The 24,053-nt window shown below is 33.0% G+C and overlaps 1 protein-coding gene across 1 annotated transcript in view; it reads right to left on the bottom strand.

The window, feature by feature from the left end:
- TLL1 (tolloid like 1) overlaps positions 14,039-24,053 on the bottom strand; it is a 231,221-nt gene continuing 221,206 nt past the window's right edge. The window contains exons 20-21 of the mRNA NM_012464.5: positions 18,969-19,219; positions 14,039-17,754 (exon numbers count right to left, since the gene is read on the bottom strand). Coding sequence (NP_036596.3) covers positions 17,620-17,754; positions 18,969-19,219 — 386 coding nt within the window. The 3' untranslated portion in view covers positions 14,039-17,619. The remainder of the gene's footprint in view (positions 17,755-18,968; positions 19,220-24,053) is intronic.

Genomic DNA, 24,053 nt, shown 5'->3' with positions numbered 1-24,053 from the left:
TTATAGAATTTACCTTCGTTTTGGTACTTTTGTACTAAAATGAGCATTTTATATATTCCAAATAGATTATAAATTAGATTCTTCTTCAATTACCACTTGTTTCAAAATAGTGCATACGAGTATATATAAACTTTTCTACTCTCACCTTAAGTTTTATTTTAGCAAAATATTGCCTCCAAAAATCACAAATTCAAATTTAAAAGCCTAAACAAGAGAAACTCTTAAAAGGTAGCAGATGGAGAAATTAGAATTAAAAATACTCAAACATTTAAAATAAATCTCTTTTACTCATGAATATTCCAAAACTTTATATTTCAGAGAAATTATCTTGCTCTCAACCATTTTTTTCCATCTCTGCCCCACAAAACCAATATACAATGATTCTGCTGTCTCAACTCTCCCATTCATTCATCTTCTCCTAAACTCCAGATATTTTATATGAATGTATGCACATATAACCATATGCACCAACAGGTATTTTATAGATATACATATAGAAATAAATATAGATATATAAAATTTTATTATAATTTATATATGCTGATTTTTTTTTTTGAGATGGAGTTTCACTCTGTCACCCAGGCTGGAGTGCAGTGACACGATCTCGGCTCACTGCAACCTCCGCCCCCAGAGTTCAAGTGATTCTCTTGCCTCAGTCTCCCGAGTGGCTGAGATTACAGTCATCTGCTGCCACGCCCGGCTAATTTTTGTGTTTTTAGTGGAGACATGGTTTCACCATGTTGGCCGGGCTGATCTCATACTCCTAATCTCAGGTCATCCGCCTGCCTCAGCCTCCCAAAGTGCTGGGATTACAGGCATGAGCCACCGCGCCCAGGCTATATGTACTGATTTTAATGCAATATTTGTTTAACTTAACATGATGCACATTATAATTTCCAGCTGTAATAGCCTAGCATTATATCTCAATCCTGAAAATTTGAAATTACTGATACTAAGGAAAAAAACCCTGAGGTTAACTCTTTTTCTGTCTTCTAATATTTTCTTATTTACTCTTAATTCAACAACAAAAAATAGTCTGCTTACAAAGATACACAAAATAAGGAAAAATAAAATAGCAATTGGTGATAAAATGAAAATAGAATATGAGAGAAGAGATACAAAATGGAGCATGGAAAGGAGTTAATTTTATTATAGACAAAGAAAGAACAAATTAACCTTGGTCGGGGCAAGGAAACGGAAGTGAGCATAGCAAGCATTCTACATTGCACCTGCCTATCCCTATTTTTCTTTCCAAGTTCCCCTTTGGCACCAGGATGAAAACTGTTGCAAAACTCATTGTTCCTTCAGTGACATCATTTTAAAATGAGTATTTCTAAGTCTTTTCTATTAATTAAATTGGCATAACTCAAGAAAAGAGACTATGAAATGAAATAATAGCTTTAAAAATTATACTAATAAGCTGGATTTTACCTAGCACCTAAGATTAAAAACAAATGTAAATGTTGTAGATTATATAAAATTAAAGTATTTTAGCCACATTTTAATTAAAGGATATTTCATAATATTGTGCCATAAAGAAATGTAGTTAATGGAAAAAAATAGTATTTTTCAAGGATGATTTTCTAAAATATTCTAAATATTTTTAAATTATTTGAAAAGTGAAATTTGATAGTTGCTTTAAACATATATTTTCTTATGTATTTCATTTCAAAAAATTTTCTTTAAAATCTCATTAGAAGTTTGCAGAAATGCTAGAAATTATACAAACCAGCTAGCAAAACAAACAAACGAACAACAGCTACAAAAAACACAAAACAACAACAAAAAACCCAAAATACAAAAACCAAACAAGTGCGTGAAAAGGGATTCCCTTTCTTGCTTCCTCCACCCACTACCGCCCTCAGCTGTTTGGCATTGCCCTGATATTTTTCGAGGGATTTGCTTTCTTACTGTATTAATTACAACGTTTATTTTCCAGAGGAAATTATTTTTGATTCCTTGGGGTTTTTTTGTCTTTTTTGATATTAAAGACAGCTGGAATTCAATGGTCTCATAGCAAGAGTCAGCACTTAGCTACAAATTGTATGATAACAAATGCAGCATTTCTCTTGTTTCTATTTGGCTCAGAAACATGTTAAGGAATATTTAAGAAAAGGTGGTGGAAAAAAATCTAGAAAACATGAGGATCTTGGCTTTAGACTTATGCTAGATGGCAACAGCATGTGTTCACTACTAAAACTTCTTTCTCTTATGCACCCTGAGAAGCAAACAGGAAGGGAAATTTAAATCCTACCACTATGACATTTTCCAGGTCCAATATACGGTAAACATCTATAATTAGTAGACCTGCCATAAGCAATGCCTTCATACTTTTATTTTGTTTTCACCTTTTCCTGGGATTGTGCCACAAAGGATATCTTTATTTGGTAACTTGCATTTGAAATGCATCAATACCCCAATTAAAATAAAAAGAAAAAAATGCCAATTACTGAAAGTAAATCTAACAATTTTAAATTCAACAGCTTTTTTTGTTTTGAAAGTTCTTTAGAAAATTTAAGATGATATTACAGTAGTGAAAGTCACAGAGATTCTGTGGTAGGCAACCACGACTGATGCTTGCCTGCCTGTATAATCCCTTCCTTTTTAGTGTGGGCTGGACCTAGTGAATAACTTCTAGCAAATAGAATATGGCAAAAGTGATAGAATGCCACTTCTGAAATTGATTATAAAAAGGCTGTAATGTGTATCTTGATTGTTCTCTTTCTGTCTCTCATTCAGTCATTTCTATTGAAGCTACATGTTGTGAGCTGCCCTATGGAAAGATACTCATATCTAGGAACTGAGGAAGGCCCCTGTACAACAGCCAGTGAATAACTGAATCCTGCTGACAACCACATGAATGAGGCTAGAAACAACTTTTCCTCAATCAAGCTGTCAGATGAGATCACTGGCCCAATAGACACCTTGATTGGGGACTTGCAAGAGACCTTAAGGCAGAGGCACCCAGGTTGCATCACCTTATTTCTAACCCACAGCATCTGTGATGTAAAAAAAAAAATACTTGCTGTTGCTTCATTTCAGGGTAATTTATTACACAGTAACAGATAACTAATATAGATGCCAACAGCAAATGTATTAGATATTTTGGACGGATATCTGTTTAGAATCTATTCTCATCTCTTTTCATAACAGCATACTTTCTGGGCTACAAAATTTAAAACAACATTTCCTAGGATTCCTTGTAAGCTGAGGTTTTGATTGAACATAATTAAATTCTGATAGTTAGAAGCAAATGTGTGAATTTTGGAAGGCAAAATGAGGTAGAAGCCATCTCTCTGCTGCTGTTTTCAGCTCAGCAGCTTCGTCACGGGTCTGTGATGATTTTCTCCAGCAGTGTTCCTGGATCTACTCTCCAGTTTTGAGGGGGTCAGGAGGCACTAATAGCCATGAAAATCTCTTTCTATCTGCAACAGCCATGTGTTCTTAAACCTAAAAACTCAACAGGCAGTCTTCTGAGTTTCTGCCTTTCAGACTGTGGCACAGGTAGCAATTCTCTAGCAGGTTACTTTTGTGATCTCAGAGAGACAATAGTACCCCTATTGTCTATTAATTCACAAATACATGAATTAATTCTATTTTTGCTTAAAATATCCAACATAGCTTCTAATTATTATGCTGAACTCAAACTCATGCTTTTCATACTTATAAAAAGCAGTTGCTATATCTATTGGGTTTTTTCCAATATCTATTTATTTTTAATTTTAATACAGTTTATTCAAGCAAGGGACAATTCATGAATTGGGCAGCACCAAGAGCCAGAAGAGCTTCAGGAGCTCTGTTCAGTAGTGTGAGCAGCAAGCTTTGATAATCCAGAAACAAAAGCAAAGTAGAGAAATCACCTGACTGGCTACAGCTAGGCATTGGCCTTATTTAGGCATGGTGTGATAAGGCATTTACTTTACCTTGGCATGGCCTGATCAGGTGGCTTTTTAAAGTTTGTATTTTTTAATTGTAAACTGACAAATTACAGCTGTATATATTTATTGGGCCTAAACTGATGTTATGATTTATGAATATGATGCACACACAATTAAATCAAGCTAATTAACATATCCATTACCTCAATTTTTTTTATTTTTGCATGGTGGGAATATTTGAAATTTACTCCCTTAATGATTTTGAAATGTACCTTACATTACTACCTACTATATACACCATGATGTGCCATATATCTCAAAAAAAAAAAAACTATTTCTTCTGAATAACCAAGATTTTGTACTCTTTGATCATAATCTTTACATTCTGCCCATCCCATCCCATTCCAGCCTCTGATAACCATCATTCTATTATTTTTCTTTTAGTTTGATTTTTTAAGATTCCACATATAAGTGAAGATATATGTAATTTTGTCTTTCTTTGCCTGGTTTATGTCACCTGGTATAATATTCTCTGATTTTATTGATGTTGTCACAAATGACAAAATTTCTAAGGCTGACTGTATTCCATTGTGTGTATATACCACATTTTCTTTATCCATTCATCTGTTGATGAACACTTAGGTAGATTTCATAACTTGTCTATTCTGAATAGTCCTGCAATAAATATGAGAGTGCAGATATCTCTTTGACATACTGATTTCAAATATTTTGGGTAAATACCCAAAAGTGGGATGACTGAGTCATATTTTTAGTTGTTGAGGTACCTCTGTATAGTTTTCCATACTGACTATACTAAGTTACATTCCCACCAACAGTGTGTAAAGGTATTTTTTCCTCCACATCCTTACCAACACTTCTTATCTCTTGTCTTTTTGATAATCACCATACTAACAGATATAAGGTGATATCTCATCATAATTATAATTTGCATTTCCCTAATTATTAGTGATATCTCAAGAAATTAGGAAAAAAAATGTACCTTGATGCAATAAGGTCACTTGTGATAAAGCCACAACTAACATTCTACTCAATAATGAAAAATTAAAACTCTTCCCAATAAGATCTGGAGCAAGACAAGGAGGCCCACCCTCACCACTTCTATTCAACATAGTATTTGAAATTTGTGCCAGAGCAAATATTCAATAAAAAGAAATAAAAAGCATCCATATAGAAAAGGAAGATGTGAAATTGTTTGTTTGCTAATGATACTAATGATATAATCTTATATAGAGAAAACTCTAAAGATGTCAGCAAAAAGCTGTTAGAACTAATAAACAAATATGGTAAAGTTACAGGATAAAAAATCAATGCAAAAAATAGTAGCATTTCTACACAGTAACAACAAACTTTCTGAAAAAGAAATCAAGAGAACTACTCCACTTACAATAGCTACATAAATTAATATACTTAGGAATACATTTAACCAAATAGGTAAAAGACCTTACACTGAAAACCATAAAATGTTGATGAAAAAAATTGAAGAACACACAAATAAATGAAAAAATCCCACATTCACGGACTGGAATAATTAATATTGTTAAAATGTCTACATGACTCCAAGCAATCTATAGATTCAATACAATCCCTATCAAAATTCCAATAGCATTTTTTATAAATTCATATGCAACCATAAAAAAATCTCAAATAGCCAAGGCAATCATAAACAAGAGAAAAAAAGCAAAACCGAAGGCATCACACTACCTGATTTCAAACTATATTGCAAAGCAATAGTAATTAAAACAGCATCATACTAACATAAAAATGGATCAATGAACCCAAAAATAGAGAGCTGAAAAATAAACCGACACATGTATATAGTCAATTGATTTTCAACAAAGCTGCCAAGAATACACAAAGGGAAAAGGACAGTGTCTCAATACAAAGTATTGGGAAAAGTAGTTATCTACATGCAGAAAAAATGAAATTGGACCCTTATTTTGACCTGAAGCTATAAAACTGCTAAAACAGAAACACAGGTGAGAAACTGCACAACATTACACAACACTGGTCTAGGTAATGTTTTTTTTAGATTTGATAACAAAAGCACAGGCAACAGAAACTAAAATAGGCAAGTGGGATTACATCAAAATAAAAAGCTTCTGCACAACAAAGGAAACAATTGAAAGATTGAAGAAACAACCTGTGGATTGGTAGAAAATGTTTGTAAGCCATATATCTGTTAAAGAGTTAATATCCAAAATACGTAAGAAACTAAATTATCTCTATAGAAGAAAATATAGTTTGATTAGGAAATGAGAAAAGGGCCTGCATAGACATTTCTCAAAAAATATATGCAATATCTATTTACATTTTTATAATAGACTTATGCATGGTCACCTTTATGTAATACTCTAACATGCGGTTAATTTGATTACATTAATAACACTTGGTAGCACTAAAAAGGTGTATTAATTGCTTCCTTTTTATCACTAAGAATCTCTTTTTCTGGCACAGTTCTCCACCTCTAGACAGAATTTTAATTCTTAGTCTTTTCATTTGACTCCACAAAAGCAAGACTTCATCCAATATTATTCATTTCAGATGAATAGAGGTATTTAATAGCTCTCAATCTGTGATAAAGTAGGTTCAGGTTTGCTGAAGATTAAGGTAGAATAAAAATGAAATTTCTCTTCATCTCAAACTTCCTATCTCTTTGAATTTGCAAGGTTACCTGTTAAGGCTGAGATCCTTATTCTTTTCAGAAATTTTAAAGGAACAAAAGATGTCATTTTGAAAAAACAAATTATCAACTGGAAGTAAAATATGTACAAGTTTAGCATCATTCTTCTGTATTAAACAAACAACTCTTACATTTACAGATTAAATTATAGGTTGATAAGCTAGTCTTTTTAAGGGATTAAAAAATGACTTATCTTTTCATACAGGTAGCTTAAGGTAGTTAAGAAAAATACTTGCTTAAAAATTGAAATATAAGTTTTCCTTATTGCTGAAAATCTAATTTATTTGAGTTGCTGTAAAATGACCCTAGCATCTTAACCCAAATTTGTTTTAAAATACAGATGAGACAAATTGGAGAGAGAAAGAGAGAAGTCTCTTTTTTATTCTAGAAAAGTAATTTCGCAGTTTTGTAATGTAACCAAACTAAACATACTTATGAAGAAAGAAGGATAACATATTTCATCTTCATTATTATAAATGACAATCTCTTTCTGTATTACTCATATGGTTTATTAACTTCATATCAGTGTTACTCAGAAAATATTCCAGATCTTAACGTGACAAGTACTCATTTTTTGAGTTATGTAATTTTTAGCACATTAGGTTAGTTCAACTTAATTTAATTCAATCTCATTTCAATTCAATTCAATTTAAGCAATCTATATAGGAGGTCTTTTAGTGTGCAGTTCTGTGTAAGTACAGAAAAAAATAAATAGCATCTACTTGCTTTTGAGGATCTCAAAACATTGCACAGAAAAAGTATCAACATAAGAATAAACGAAATCAGCGTGACAAGTAATTTGGGAGCATACTGAGAAGTGCACTCAAGATAATTTTCAAAACCTTTTCTGTAGTGCTTTCTAAAGCGTATTATCTTATAACAAAAGCTATATATTTGACGCACGATATAGTATGAAATTGATTTACCTTGCCTTTCTCTACAGAATTACTTAAAGGAAACTGCAGCATAAAATGCATATTATCTTTATAATTCATAGATAACACGCTAACAGAAATCTTTTATAATATCTGGCATTTGGAATATTTTTCTCACATTGAAGTACAATCTTGATCTCATTAAAATTAATAAAACAGAAAACATGAATAAAAATGATTTATGAAATTGTCATTTTAATAATGTTCCTTGAAGTTAGGACAATCCTCTGTAGAAGGCTAAAATTAAGGATAACTCAAATACATTTTTACTTCTGGATTCTCATTTGAGTTGTTAACTGTATTTATTGACGATTATCTTCCACTGAAAATTATTAGGTTTTTAAAATCATTTTGTTTCTTAGTAACTACATCATTTGTTGTCCTTTTTCTTCTAATATACGATAGTGACTTTAGGAGATAGATTTCCTGTGATTTTTCAAAAAATAATTGTTCAAAAATAGTTCCAATTTTCCTACAGTGTTCCGTAATTAGATATTTAATTGAATTATGGATTCAGCATTTTCTGTCAAGTACATTTTGGCAAAGATTAACAGTCAACCTCTGCACAGATTTACAGCCCTTGACTCTGCATCAAGAATGAGCTTACCTCTGGATAGTAAAAGTACAACATAAAATGTTGCTTCATTGTTAACAGGTTCCATTCTATCTGAGTATTTGATCCCTCAAGTCCTAGCTCTGTTGGAAGCTTGAGGATGCCTTAAACATAGAATTGTTTTCTTTTTAAAAGTTTTAACCCACTTTTCTGTTTATTCTTGATGGAATATATTAGTTTTAGGCAAGCTACTCTATTATAACTCTAAATAGAAATCAACAAAATTTAATCAAACTGCATAAAATCATGAAAATCATGTACTTAATGGGAAAGCTAATGACTTTTTTTGCTTTTAAGGGAAATAATTTTGAACATACTAGCATTTAAAATCACACTATAAAGAGCAAAGTGAAAATCTGAATTTATGATTACTTTTTAAATTTAAATATAATTTATATACCTACCCCTCTTTAAAGGGATTCTCTTCATCACAGACATCATGTGCTCTTGTATGTATTTTATATTCAAGATTCCCATCTGTAATATTGGAATAATAATACTTATCTCACAAGGTTATTGTGCACTCTATAAATGCTGAATCTGAATTAAAAATCTACATACACATGAATTATAACATTTTATCTTAAAATCTCTTGAAAACATGTTTTTTAAAAAATCATAGATCATGTTGTAAAATGCTAAAGGGGAAAACAGAGAAAGAGAAGGAGGAGATTGGCATTCCTAGCTGGCAATTTTTTTATAATTTATGGTACATATAAATTTTTGTTTTTAATATAGCCAGATAATTAATTCTTATGATTGTGGATTGATTAAAATTGTGTAAAGGTCATAAATACATAATGTACCTTTATATTCTAATATTATGTCATATTATATGTACCAATTGTCTATTTATTGCTTCTCAATTCTAAATATGTTTTTCATTGCCTGCTGTAGAAAATGGAGCTGGTCCCTTTGAAAAATTATCCTTTGCTCTCCTGATGTGAAGCTGCATCAATACAGAACCACGCAGGATGTTGCTGGAGGAAGGGGCTTCTCTTCCTAGTTTTGGTGTCCTTCTCTGCTTCTCTCAGTAGGCTCTGGAAGACCGCACAGCTTCCCTGTAGCCCAGCTACTGGAGTTCAGGTGACTTCCTAAAACCAGTTCAAAATGAGAGTTTTTCTATAGCAAGGAATTAAATTTATGGTCAGTGAAAAAGAGCATCTGCAAGTATTAGAGTCAAATGGTTATCCAAAATGTTTGCATTACTGGTTACTGCATTTCTGTCAGCAGTGCGTAGAAGTTTCTATGCTATACATCCTTGCAAACACTTGATAGTGTTTAAGGCTTTAGTTACTAATGCAATGGATACAAGATAGTATACTATTCTTTAAATTTGAATTTTCCAAAATAACAGCAATGTCAAACATGTTTTCATCTGTTTTTTTTTTTTAACCATTCTGCTCTCCTCTTCTGTGAATTGCTTGTGTGTATCCTTTGCACATTTATCGATTACATAGGTTGCCTATTTTCTTCTTTAAAGGACCAAGTGGCATTTTAGGATTTCTAGGCCAACAGACAATGTCTTCAAGTCTTAACTTTTCTTGCCAAAAGGCTAACAGTCATTTTATGTATCATTCTTAGGTCATGGAGTGGACACAAATAGGCAGTGAGCTGAATTTGACTCACAAGATGTAGATTGCCAATTCCTCATCGATGGGGTTGTTTGTATCTCATTGAATTTGAGGGTTTTAAAAATAATCTGGTTCCTAATCCTTTGTCAGATATATATCTTGCAAATACCTTATATCATACTATCTCTCTTACTAAGATCTTAGTATCTTCATATGATCATAATGAATTACATTTTTATGATTTTGATAATTGTATATATTTTGAGGCTCTAGATTTACATTAATCAGAAATTTTTAAATGTTCTAGATGCAGTTTCTTTTATCATTGGAGTTGCTAATCTTATTCCAAATAGTCTCTTATGCCTAAAAACATCAGCTATCATTAGCTTAAAATATGCCCAATATATTTTTTCACTTTCAGCTTTTCTCATACTTTTTTACAAGCATCTTTTCTAAAAGCTCATGGATGACACTTTAATCCAATCTGAATATGCCTCTTCTTAAATTGGAAATTTTAGTGTACTTACATTTATTGCAATTACTAGTGTATTTTTTATTTATTTCCTCACTCATAAAATGGGGACAATAAATTCTAACTCACATATCTGTGAGAATTAAATGAACTACTATCTCAGACACTTAGAAAAATGCCTGGAAGATGTGTTTTACATTTTAAATATTACTTATTATTGTCTTTTTACCATTTTATTTTGTGCTATGTTTCTCACTTTTTCTATGCCTCTTAATCTTCCTTTTATAAAATCCTTAAGATTTATTATTTTTATGCTATCTTTCCCTCTCTACTGGTTTAGAAATTATATATCCTACTTTTGTTGTTTTGGTTAGCCTACCATTTTACCCTGAACATTTAACAAAATATTAAAGTAATCCTCTTCTTAAACACTACAAGGACCTTAGAACTTTTCAACTTCAATTAATCCTCTCTAGTTGTACATGATATTATATTACTGTTTTATATTTACTTCCACTTTCCTTTAGAATTATTCATTAATATTATAATTAATCACATTAATTGTAACAAGATAATATTATTTTATAGTAGTAAATATTTTAAATTGACACCTAACCACCAATTCTTGAATAACTAATCCTTCTTGCATATCATTTAGTTCCTATTTGTAAGTGGTATTTAACAGGATATAAAAATTTAGGTTGACAATTGTTTACTCTTGATATCAGGAAGACTTGATTTCACTATATTCGGTATTGGAAAGTCTGCTATATTTCTAAAAGTACCTTCTTATTGATGATCTGCCTTTTTCTTTGACTACTTTTAATATTTTTTTAACTTTGTATTAATCAATTTCAGTACTATGTGTCTAATCTTTATTTTTATGTATTTAGCTTTAAGTGCAGCTTTATTTTTATGCGTTTTCTAAGTGCAGCCTTATTTTTATGTATTTTCCTTGGGAATTTTTTGTGTTTCCTGAATGTGAAGATACATGTTTCCCAAAAGTTTTGGGGCATTTCACATATTTATATTGAATATTTTATTCTCCTTCACTGTCTATATTGTCTTCCTCTGTAACTCCTAAAAATACATATTGAACATTCACATCTACTTCTCATGTCTCTTAAAATATATTTTTTCATCTGTTTGTCTCTCTGTTGTGTTCTGTGATTCTTATATACTTCCACCTCATAAATCGTACCATCAACCATATCGACTACATTTTTCATTTCAATTACTGTATTTTTTCATTTCTGCAAGTTTAACTTATTCTTTAAAAATCTACTCAATATTTTGAAAGTGTCTATAGCTTTTCCACATATTTCGATTTCCTTTCCTTAATTATTTTAATGTGCTTTTCTTTATACTCTACATTTGATCATTCCAGCATTTAAAATTCTTAGAGTCTAATTCTGTTACTTATGATTTGGGATTACTCTTACCTGATCTTTCTATAGATTTTTCTAAATTGTGGCATCATATTCTATGAGGCGTTATCTGTGTGCATAATAGGTTGCCTAGGTTGCAGGTATGTGCGTCCAAAGATCTTTTGTATATATACACACGTGTGTGTGTGTGTGTGTGTGTGTGTGTGTGTGCATGCACCTGTACGCATGCTCTTGAGAGAGCTAGGCATTCTAGGGACTTTACTCACCTTTAAAAAATCACTCGTTGACTTGGAAGAGAAGCAAATAGTGAGACAGTGAGGCATTTTACTGTCCTGCAATCACACTATTGGTAAAAAGACTCCTTTTTCCACCAGTTAGGGCAGCATTGATTGGAGATAATGGGTTAAATCTGTTTCAGATTTAGAACTACAATTTATCAAGTGCTGCTGGTACTAGTATTCGGTAACTCTTTTTGTAAAACATATTGTTTACAAAAAGCCCCAATTGTCCATCCTGAGGTTCAGTAATTTATAAATTAAAAATACAAGTAATACATGCAAAGAAAAACTTACTTTTATAGGACAACTGAATTTTTTTAAATGCTCAAATGCAGAACCAAGGATGTTTATGTTGCTGCTAGTCTCAAAATACAAACCACACAATTTTGCAGAATGCTCCCAAATGGCAGTAGAATACACATGCATGTTTCATTACTGAAATTTCAACTTTGGGGGGTTATTTAAATTAATGCTTATCTCTTTAGTATGTAAACTGCATGAGAGCAAAGGTTGCTACTTTTTCTTTTTTTATCTCGAATTCATAGTACTTACCACAGTATGAAGCATATTGTTCAGTGAATAAACAGAATAAATGAGTGAGTAAAATACATTGTACTATGCGTTTTGGTTTGAAAATGGCAAAACTTATTATGAGCGACCTTTTAATCCCAGGGAATTCAAACACATCTAATACACATATAGTAAAAGTATAAAAATTGAAAACTTTATGAAAAAATTTTTCATAAAGAAATGTTTCATAAAGAAACGTTGAAAAATTTATGATTCCCAAGGAAAATTTTCCTGCTATTTACATTTTGTCTCAATTATAGTCCCTTCAGGAATAGCCACTAAATAATTTTTAGGGGAGGTTGACATATTGAAGCCTTATTATCTATAATCCTTTCACTTTGTCCTTTCTGGGCAATCTTTCTGTTTAAACATTCTTAATGTCATTCCTTAAAGTAATTCCTCTTATACTCTATTACCGCGGTGACATTACTACTGTGTTTTCAATGTCAGCTATCACTTTTGTGAGGCACTAATTCTAACATAAAAATATTACAAGGGAATATAGATGCATTTTTATATTTTGATGGAAATTTATTATATTTAGCTAAATGTTTACAGTTGCTCTTCAAAAAAAAAAAAAAAAACCTAACAGCTTTTGAATGATAATGCAACTTTTTCTTTCTTAGATTTGTTGTAGAATTAAATATTGTGGCTAATATAATCATCCTATAATATTATTCAATAGAAGAAGCACCATTGAATCTATTTTTAAATATGTAATTTGCAAAATACACTGAAACATTGAGCACATGTTTAAAATAGTGTAAATCAGTTTAGTAACCTTCGTTGCTATTTGTTTTCAGATGCAAGTATGCTCTGAAAATTTGATAGTTGAGCAAAAATAAAATGTTATATAAGTAACTTTCCAGATATAAGGACAATACAGACAGACAAAGTAAGGTCAGAGGGACTGGTGAAGCCGTTAGCTTGTATTCATATAGAAATATAACAACAGAAACAGTGTCAATATTTACTCATATACCTCCAACCTGGCAATAAATAAAGATAAGCCCTGATCGCTAGGACCTTCTAAGTGCCTCAATCTGTGTAGAGTTTAATAGATCTCTTTTCAACTGCTTTTTATGCAGATACATTTCCACCTACAAGTTTTTTGAAGTTAGAAGTTGATATTCATTGTATTCATTTGCTGCTTAGAATATTGGATGAGAGGGAGGTTATATATAGTGAAACGTGCTCAGAGCCCTATAATTCCTTTGTTTTCATCCTGCATGGGTACCTGCATTAGGGTGTCATGGCTGGAACTGGAGTCACGTGACCAGCTTGGATTCAGGTTCAATATATTGGAGTGAGGGAAAGTTAGGCAGGTTGGAAACCAGACAGTGAAAATGTAGATGTCAGAAGAAAGTTTGGGGACAAATAACACTATTTCACAAAATATCAGAGTCAGCCTTTCCACTTCTTGTTTCCTAATCTAATGACAAAATTTCTCAGTTTTATAACAATAACATAAAAAACCAAAAGCTAAATATTCATTGGAAACCAATTACCATGCATTGAAGCATAAGAACTTTCAATTCATTCACAGGCCACCTTTTTTCTCTTTTTGACAAGTTCTTATTACACATTTGTTGTTGTAAAATAGAAAGCATTACTGCAATTCGAATTATATATCTTTAGAAGGCAATTATATTTTCTGCTCTCCTCCTCCCATGCCTGATTTAACAAGTGGTATCAAAAATTTTCCATAAGGCAAGTCTTATTCTTATTAGTAAACAATAGTTTCCAAATATTTGATAACTGTTTTAAGTAAGTTATAATGTCACATAGGGTTGCAGTCCTTCTAAATCTACATAAAGATATAATTTAATGTTTCTTTTAAAAATAAATTTTAACCTTGCAAAAATAAAATTAGTCATTTGATGCTTTTAGAGATTTTTCTACATGGCAGAACAAAATTTGATATTTGAAGCTTACCACCAAAAATACAGCAGTATTACAAACCAAATAAAAGAGACCAAGCTATTTTAAAACAAAGTTAAACAGAATTTGAATCTCATACTGTGACATATTAAAATGAGCGACAGGTAGCAAAAATCCAGCCAGTATAGGAATGGGATATTTGAGGGTTTTGGAAACACAATTACTTCTCATCCATTTCTTTTAAAAAGTTATTTTGTCCATTTAAGTTAAGTCACGATCTCCTTAATAAAATACAGTTATTTTCAAAATTGACTTTTAAAAATAATTTAATAAAATCAAGTGAGAACAGTGTTTTTTTTTTTTTCTATGTATAGTCAGTTAGGACTTTGGCAAATATAAAGCACAACCAATATACTGATGTAGGGTGGAAAATAATTTAAAAAATTAATTTAATAAAATGCCTGGAGCAGTAAGTAACAATTATTAACAATACAACAATGAAGCTGTCTGTACTTTCATTTAACAACACACTTAAGGCAAATGTTGAATTAATATAAAAATAATATGTGGTAAACTGATACTTGACATGATACAATAAAAATTAATTTTCACGTTGAAGACCTAGTTATGACAACATCTCTATATGCCTTCTAAATACCTAATTTCTCAGTTGTGCAGAGCATAGCTCACTATGGCCTAATAAGATGTCAATCAGAATATCCAGAATATTTCTTAATATAGAGCAATACATTTCCCCTACCACATCAGGCAAAATAATTTAATATATTTATTTTCACAAAAGGCTCATACTAACTCCAAACTATAGGGTTTTTTAAATTTCTAGTACTAATTCTGATTCTTAAAGATAGCTATCATTGGTATTCTAAATTTCATGCTGTTCTTAAAAAGAGCAAAATGCTTATCCTGTAAGTTTTACTCTAATTCACCCCTAAAATTTACTTTATGTGGGAAAGTTTCACCATAAAAAATCTACTATTTATATAGGTCGAGATTGATTCTACTACCTTTGTAGAACAAGCAGAGGCTCATTTGTATAAGATAAACTGGGTTTCAACATCTAACTTTACACTGTGACTCTGGGAAGGTTACATAAATTCTTTGAGCCTCACTTTCTGAACTACAAAACGAGAACATGATGACAGTCCTCAAAGTGTAGCATGGAATTTAAAAAGAGCTAGTGCACATTCCTAGCACACGGGTAGGAGTAGTATAGAACAGTATAGGTGTTAATGTTAATGACTTTTTCTCCTCTCTTTCCCATTTCTGGCATATTTTGGCTAACGGGAGATTAGTGAGAAAATATGGAAGAAGTTACTGGAATAAATCAGCTCTACTAAAAGGCTCATCTACATTGCAGGCAATAGTTATACATTTTCAAAGTAACATTCAATAAGATCAAAACATTGGTTATAAAAATGTATTTACATTTTACAATTCATATGCAAGAAATTTTTTCAGGGCAACAATTTAAGAAAAAAACAGATAAGCTACATCTGTGTGTATACTTTAATTGTGTAAAACTGAAAGAATACACCCAATTGTATTCAATGTTGTATGCTCATGGACAGGTAACAGACACAAAGCTACTTCATACAGTAATCTATATTGACATCAAAATAGAGTTTCTCTAAAGGAAAGAGCCTTTTTTTAATGGGATTGATCAAAATTAGAAGTTCCCATTATTTGTCCATGAAACCTAAGGAAGGTGCTATTTCAAATGGAATTCTAGTAGAACTTGGCACATACATTTTAACTTTTCAACCACCCATTATTTTTTACCTCTTGTAGTTTCACTCACTCAGACAATCACACATCTACATTCATTAATTTTAAAAACACACATGCCTTTAAAGCAGAAAATTCATCCTCAAATTACATTTTCTACAAAAAAAGCAGGACACCATATTTATATCCAATGCTTCAGTCATGGAAATGGATTTTCTTCATAGAGCTGTTAATTAACATACACTATTATGTTCAACATTTCAAAAGGTGTGTTTTAGGAGGATCTGTTTGATCATGTGCAGGAATTCTAAGGCATTATAAGTAGTTGTTCCACAGGACAAGTGCTGCCCTTGCAATGATATACTCTTGATATATTTGACAAGTCTTTAGTCTTCAAATGCTACCAGCCATAGGGAGACATTCGTAGTCTACGGGTGGGTTGGCTCAAAGGTCAAAAACTTGTTTGAAAAAAAGTTTATGGAATAGCACCATAAGAAGTCTTTCAGAAACAAATCTTTTTTTTCCAGCATTGTGTTTTGAAAAAATGAATCCCAGGAAGAGAAAAATGAAAGAGACCTTTCAGTTCTCACAAGGCCTACTTCTGCTTCATTTCAATTTTAAAAAATAGATTAACCATGACAACATCAACAATAATAATACAACAATAACAGATCGACAACAAAGGAAAGACAATAGCAGCAGCAGTAACTTGAGTAATGAACCATCCAGACAGTCATTCAGAAGAATCCTGCTCACACCTCTTCGGAGTTTTCTCATAAGGTTCATAAGACATCACAGGCTTCTTGGATTTGGTGTGAAAAGGCAGCACTTCCAAAAAAAAGAACTAAGTTTACCAATTCACTGGGCGTTTTCTGAGACTTAAAGAACTGATGTCTAGAATTTAACTGCAATAATTAGACACCATTGAGATTTCAAACTCATCTAAATGTAAGTACACTAAAGTGGTCTCAAGATCATTTGTGTTTCAGAGGTTAAGCTGGCCTGCAAGTGGAAATAATGAAGCTGAAATATCCCAGTTTCCAAACACCAGACACACACATACACATGGAAAGTACAAATCACCCTCAGAAGACTCCCATTTCACATTCACCTTATATGGATCTGGTTTACACTGTATCCAAGATACAAAGTCAGCAATTATCCTAAGACAACCAAAATACTGTTTTCCAGTTTACGACCTGCAAGATCATTTTATGTCCCTAAATCTTGACAAATTGTCAAAAAGAACACTGCAGGGTCACAGTTCCTGAATTAAACTGTCTGAATTGTGAGGCATCTATTTCAAGCTGTGAACAAAAGCTTGTAGAGTCTTCCTTGAAGTATATGATGCCCTTTCACCAGCTTTATTAATACCATCAAGCATGGAGTTCAAATATCCTTGTAATGCTGATGAGGGTTTTGCTGGAAACTTCTCTTTTAGTACAAAGATAATTCTGGTCTTACAGGGATTTTTTGTTCAAACTCTTTGTATAAAACATTTGTGCCAATATCTTCAGTTTTAAAAAAAATATGTCTTCTCTCCATTATGCACATTCCTTTGTGTTCTGACAGAGGTTTTGGTGTTATTTTTTGGTATGTGTGGTATCTGGATATCTTATGCTTTTGTATCTTATATGAAATCCCTTCTTGTTGATTGTGTCATCAGTGTGGAAATGAATTAAAACTGAATCTCCAATTGAATAAATCTCTTCTGGTGGCTGAAGGAAAACAAAAACAACAAGCAAGTAAACAAGCAATAAAACGAATCACTTTTTCTTCAGTGTAACGCATGTTTGGGAATACTTGTCTTTGGAATATAATTTAATCCTCCCAACAACCTTGGAGAGTAGGTGTAATCAACTTCTTCACTTTATAGAGGAGAAAATGGGATTCGGAGAAGAAAATGACATGCTAGAGCTCACGCGACTAGTCGGTGATGTAGCTGAGCTCTGAACATACGTTACATTTTCTAAGTTCTGGGCACTTTTCTCTCTAGAACTTGAGTGTTTTTCCCTAAACTTTTAAGCCAAGTTCTCTTGATTTACAAATCAGTAAAGTGAGGTTCAGAGAGTGTAAAGAGATACTAAATGTGTTTCAGAAGCTGCTCTGGAGCAGAGCCACTTCCAAAATCCAAATTGTCCATTATTTCTTGTTTTAATACTCTAAGCATCAAGAAGCTTTTTCATTATATTTCAGTTGTCATTTGGGCAGGAGTTCAACAGTATTACTGAAGCAATAGCTACTGGTAGACGTTTGAAAAACTGGGACTACTATCTTCAGGACAAAATATGTATTCAGAAGACTATAAATATATAAATATTAATGCAGTGAATCCTGGAGGAAAAGCACTGAGAAAACCTTATGTTTTTCTTTTCCTTATTTCTCATGGTGACGTCTTCTGACCTGTACCTGCACTCTGCACCTGCACAAGTGACACTCTGCAATGGAACAGTGTCTCTGTAGCACTGCCTGTGTACACACACCAGTGGCTGACCCTGCCACCGCCTCCAAATATATTTGTTAAAAAGAGAATGTGAATTAGAATGGTGTGCATATTATTTTTTTCCTTTATGCTTTAATTCAGAAACGTGACAGAATTGTCTATGGTGTGTGTGTAAATATGCTGCTGTTAGATTAAGTATTTAAATATTTATTGCATAATAAGAAGTTAGAACAATGGAAAAGTGACAAGAAATTATACCTACTGATTTCATCGGTTTCACCTGATATTATTCAGGCAAATTCATTAGAAGTGGAGAAGTGATAAGGGTAGAGACGTGTTATATTTTGTCAAGCCATTTATAATACAATGTAGCCTTTTTTTTTTTTTTTTGCAAAAAGCATTGCCAACTTGTGAATGGTACACATATCAATCATGAATCAATAGGCATCTTTAATCATGTCTAGGGTATTCTGTTGGTGGTATATTTACCCCGGATCCACAGAATCGACCAAGCCCCACAGCTGTTGAATCAAGACCATCAAAGAGCTCCACATAGTCATAGCCACAGTCTGCTTCTTCCTCCACTTCAAATGTCTGGAAGGATAATTCAAGTCGAGAGCCCCGTTCTGATACTAATAGCCATTCACAGTCAACCTGTCCTGGGTAGTTGTTATCACCAAACTGAGCATGTGAGTACAGATCTCTTGGTTTTGATTCTGCTTTCAATCGTCCGCCACACTCTGCCCAGGAAAGAAAAATAAGATGAGTAAGGTCAATGAGCTTTAACGGGTCCAATTTAAATTTCAGTGTAGTTTCAGTGTAGCCTAGCCATTGTCTAACTTCTGTTTCTACTTCCAGCGTCAGATATGTTTTCCACAACTGGAGAGTCAGATAGTGTCATGGGTGTCCACCCAGGCCCCAGACATGGACGACCTGGGTTGGAATCTCAGTCCCAGTGCCTGCTGGCTCTGTGACTCTGGGTAAGTGATGTCTTTGAGCCATATTTTTCTCAAGGGTAAAATACAGATGAAAATAATGGTACCAATTTTAGTGAGGTCTGAGAATTTAAAACATGAAAATCACTTAGAATCTACCACTTAGTAACTCAATAATTTTTAAAATTGTTCTACCTAATACTGTCTCTAGTCTCAAATAACTATTTTCATAAAGAAGATGCCAGAGTATTAACTCAAGTTTAATCGTAACAATTTAAGAACCCCAAATGCAAAGAAGTAAGAAGTAACTTAAAATTCAACAATAGATATAAAACTCCTCTGCGTGTGTTTGTGTTATATAGAACTTTCTATATAGAATATATACAATAGTAGTATTTTACTTCGATAGAAATATTTATCTCACTTGATGGGGAAAAACCTACATATATCATTAATTATAATTATCTTCGCAGTTCTACAACCTATCCAACAATAGCCTGTGTTTATTACATGAAAAAATAGTAAATGTTCCTCAAAGCTCCTTTAAAAAAGATAAATTAATAAGCATAGGCTATACCAGTTATTTTTGAGTGAACTTTGTTGCTCAAGGTAAATACACCAAAGAAATAAATAAGTGTCCATAAAACCTTTTAGTTAGTATAATTTAGAGAATAAAAGGTTTCAAACACACTTCTCAGGAACACTTTGTAGTCAGAGCCCCAAAGCTTTTTTTTTTTTTTTTTTTTTGAGAAGAACTCTCGCTCTATCACCCAGGCTGGTGTGCAGTGGCGTGATCTCAGGTCTCTGCAACCTCTGCCTCCCAGATTCAAGCAATTCTCCTGCCTCACCCTCCCAAGTAACTGGCACTACAGGCGCTCACTACCACATGTGGCTAATGTTTTGTATTTTTAGTAGAGACAGGGTTTCATCATGTTGGCCAGGCTGGTCTTGAACTCCTGACCTCAAGTGATCCACCTGCCTTAGCCTCCCAAAGTGCTGGGATTACATGCATGAGCCACCACACCTGGCCAGAGCCCTATAACTTTTTAATTACTGGAGATTAAATAAAGGCAGAAAGCCTACAATGCCCCACCAACCTATCCAAGCAAGCATGGTGGTTAGGAGGGAGATAAAAGAATGGGATATGAAAAGTGTCAGGAGAAAGTAGAGTTTCTTTCTGTCCCTGTTTGTCAAGGATTGAAAGAGTTTCCGGGAAGCAGGAGTTTCACTGCTAAAATGAGGAATATCCCAGGGGAAATCCAATGTGGTAAGATCTGGAGAAGCAAAACCACTGGATAGCCAAGTACGATTGTAATACTGTGATGGTAGTCTGTGACCAGATAGTCCTTAGTGAAGATGGTTAGGCAGCTGAAATTCTAAATTGGACTTTTCAGATTTGAATATAGTTTACCCATATTGTGGTTTGTTGACTTTTAAATAACAAAATATTTCTGAATTACGGGTATGGAACCCCTTTCACATATGTCTGAATTCATGTGTGCCCAAGCAAATCTATGGGCATTGTCATAAACAACAGCAAATTCAGAGACCTTTGTGTGACTAACATATGAAGGAACTTGCAGCTAGGGTTCCAATCACAAGAATGACTTCCCCATTGGGCTGTGTTACACAGTGAATGTAAATGTCCCTCCATCTTCCAAATGGTAGATGAGTATCTCACACAACCTACTGATAGAGGTGCCACTATTACAAATGTATTTATGTGAGGAAATATTCCTGAAAGCTGGAATACCAATTAGCCTTGGGATTTTATCTCCCAAGTCCCACAAACTGGAAGCCAAGCACCTTCCCTTTCCCACTACGGTGGTTTTCTTATCTCAGTAACTCCAAGAATTATTTGCCCCTTCTTGGGATGGAACTCCCAGTCAAATTGCCCAGGTGCAAATCTGGCTCTGTTCTTTACCAGCTGGGGGACTTTTTTCCACAATTTCTTTTCTAAAAAGGGAATCATCCATAGTACTCACATCATAGGGTCCAGATGAAGAGTGCTTAGGTTCATATATGAAAAATGCTTGAAAGGTGCCTGGCATAGTAAAACCCATATAAATTTAAGCTACCATTATTATTGTTATTATTTTCCTATGAGCACATGTAAATGCCATCATCTGTACTCTACGATCCACTCAGGTATGAAATGAAAAACCAGGAAAATTGAACAACAATTTAAAGCACTATTAATCTTCTATTAGAAAGGAAAAATTCTATTTTTGAAGGCCAGTAAAATATTTTGTGAAAAATATTTCTGAATTCAACATGTAAATATGTAAATCACTGTAATCTCATTTACAGATTTTTAAAAATTCTACCTCTTCTCCAAGTTTGAGAATTGACTGATATATTTTGCTTTCAGCTTTTTAAAATAGCTTCAGCACTTGCATTACTTTATTCCACAGCCCAGGAAGAGCTGCAGGGGAGGACCTGGAGATCTGGTACAGGCAGCCTTTTGTGTGTCTGCCTCACAGATACAAGTTAGCACCACAAAGACCAGGATCCAGAAGAAGCAACCCTTCGCCAGCCACAGCTGGGAATAAAAATCAAGGAAGAACTGAAGAAATTAAACAGAAGAGGAAAAATGAGTTCATAGAGGCTTTATGAATCTGAAAATCACTGGAAGTTGTCTTTATGGAACTTTATTAAACACTTCTAGAAAAATGGCCTACATTTAAAAAAAATGCCTTAAATTGCATTTAGGGACAACAAGAAGTTCCCCCCGCCCCCGGTTTTGCTTCTGCTTTCGTTTATCTGTTGCAGTGCACACCCTCATTCCTATGGATCACCGCTCAAACTAATAAATCTGGAATTAATTTCTAACCGTGACACACACACACACACACACACACACACACACACCCATGACAGAATTCAGTCCACAGGATGAATTTGTAAAGAATGAAATGAACATTTGAATGCTATATGCAAAAGAGGTGTGATTTTATTAAACTGTAATTACTGTTGCACCAACCTATAATATGCCCTGAGAGAAATTCCAGAATAAAATAGGCAGCCTGAGGGCAATTGCTTCTGAGTGTTTTCCAGAATCCTCCCGGCCACTCAAGCAATGGTCAATAGGTCATTTATTGTAATAGGTCATTTTAAAAGATGCTTTTTAAATACGGTGAACACATTTTCATCACAGATTTCATCAAATCTACCTATTCATTTACCAAGTCAGAAAAATATAAAACCAGTTATTTAGTATGTTGGCAATAGCATTTTTACAGCAACTAAAGAACAGCTGCCAAAGCGGTTCTTACAGAATTCTGAGAAATGGAAAATGAAGCTGAATAAGAAAGGTAACAAGAAGGGAAGAGAAGCCTAGGGTGAACTTCATTTTAATTTGGAAAGACAGGTTTGTTTATTTCCTGGTAAAGTATTAAACTCCAGGAGATACCTTGTAATTTGACCTATAAATGCTTTTAGTGAACATTCCAATTTAATTGATTTAGATCAAATAATTTCCTTTCCAAAGAGTTTAATAATATATTATTTTTGAATGTCATTGACAAAGAGCATGATGTTTTATGTTACAGAAAAGAAGTCCCAAGAGAAAATGCTTTGATTTTAAAAATTATTTTCTCTCCATGTTTCTCCTGTTTTTCTGTTTTGTAGCCATATCCTCTTAGAAAAGACACAGGATTTTTTTCTTTACTAAAGATTTGTTTCCTTTAATTAACTTATTTAAGACTGGAGTAATACTGTTTGTTACCTATTAAAATAAATTTGGAATTAGAATTTGAGCAAACTATCAGAGGAAAAAAGAACTCTTTCCAATTAAGTCCATTTTCCGTGGACTTTTTTTTGACTTGTAAAGAAAAGCAGCCATCATTACACATTACAACATTTCTAATCACCTAGTTCAAAAATTCATAGTGTTTGAAATTTTTCTTGTGCATAAAATTAAAATTGTATACAGAAATATAAATTTACCTAAGCAAATTAAACTGTATACTTAAGGATCCATCAAAAATAGCCGTCCATATTCTAGAAGACAGTAAATAATGAATAAATGCTTTATACACGTAGCAAATGCTGACAGATACGGTACTGGACTTGGCTGTCTTGTCAGCAGAAATTGAAAGATAAATTGAAAATCATAAGTTTAACTTATCAGACTGTAAGCTGTCAATAGGCAGGATTCCCTTCTATTGTCTTAAAAATTCCCACACATTTACATTGTCCAAAGCAGATGCAAAATAAATATTTGATGAAAGAGTAGAATAAATGAACCTGTTAAAGAGATTTTGAGGAGAAATAAAAGCAGACATAAGTAAGAGTATTTCAGCATGTATGACTACTAGAAAGTAACAGAAAAAAGAAGTCTACCAGAAAAATTCCAACCTAGCTGAAAAAACAAACAAGTAACATAAAAAATTCTCAGAATAATAAAGGAACAGGAATTGCGAAGCCAGGACTCTAATTTCAACTGTTATTAACTTCTTGTGCTATTTCAGTTACCATTAAATGTTTTAGCCTCAAATTTCTCATTTCTGAAATGACAGGGCAGGCTTAAAGAATATCCATGGCCCGTTTTGCCTAACAAATTGTGATTGGGGTTCCTCACGTGGGTATCTGAATGGCTGTGAATGAAACAGGGAAATAAAATGAGCCTAGTCACTTA

This window comes from Homo sapiens, chromosome 4, assembly GCF_000001405.40.
Source record: "Homo sapiens chromosome 4, GRCh38.p14 Primary Assembly".
NCBI classification, from domain to species: domain Eukaryota; kingdom Metazoa; phylum Chordata; class Mammalia; order Primates; family Hominidae; genus Homo; species Homo sapiens.
The sequence above is the reverse complement of the archived record's forward strand: the minus strand, read 5'-3'. Positions and strand labels throughout refer to the sequence as shown.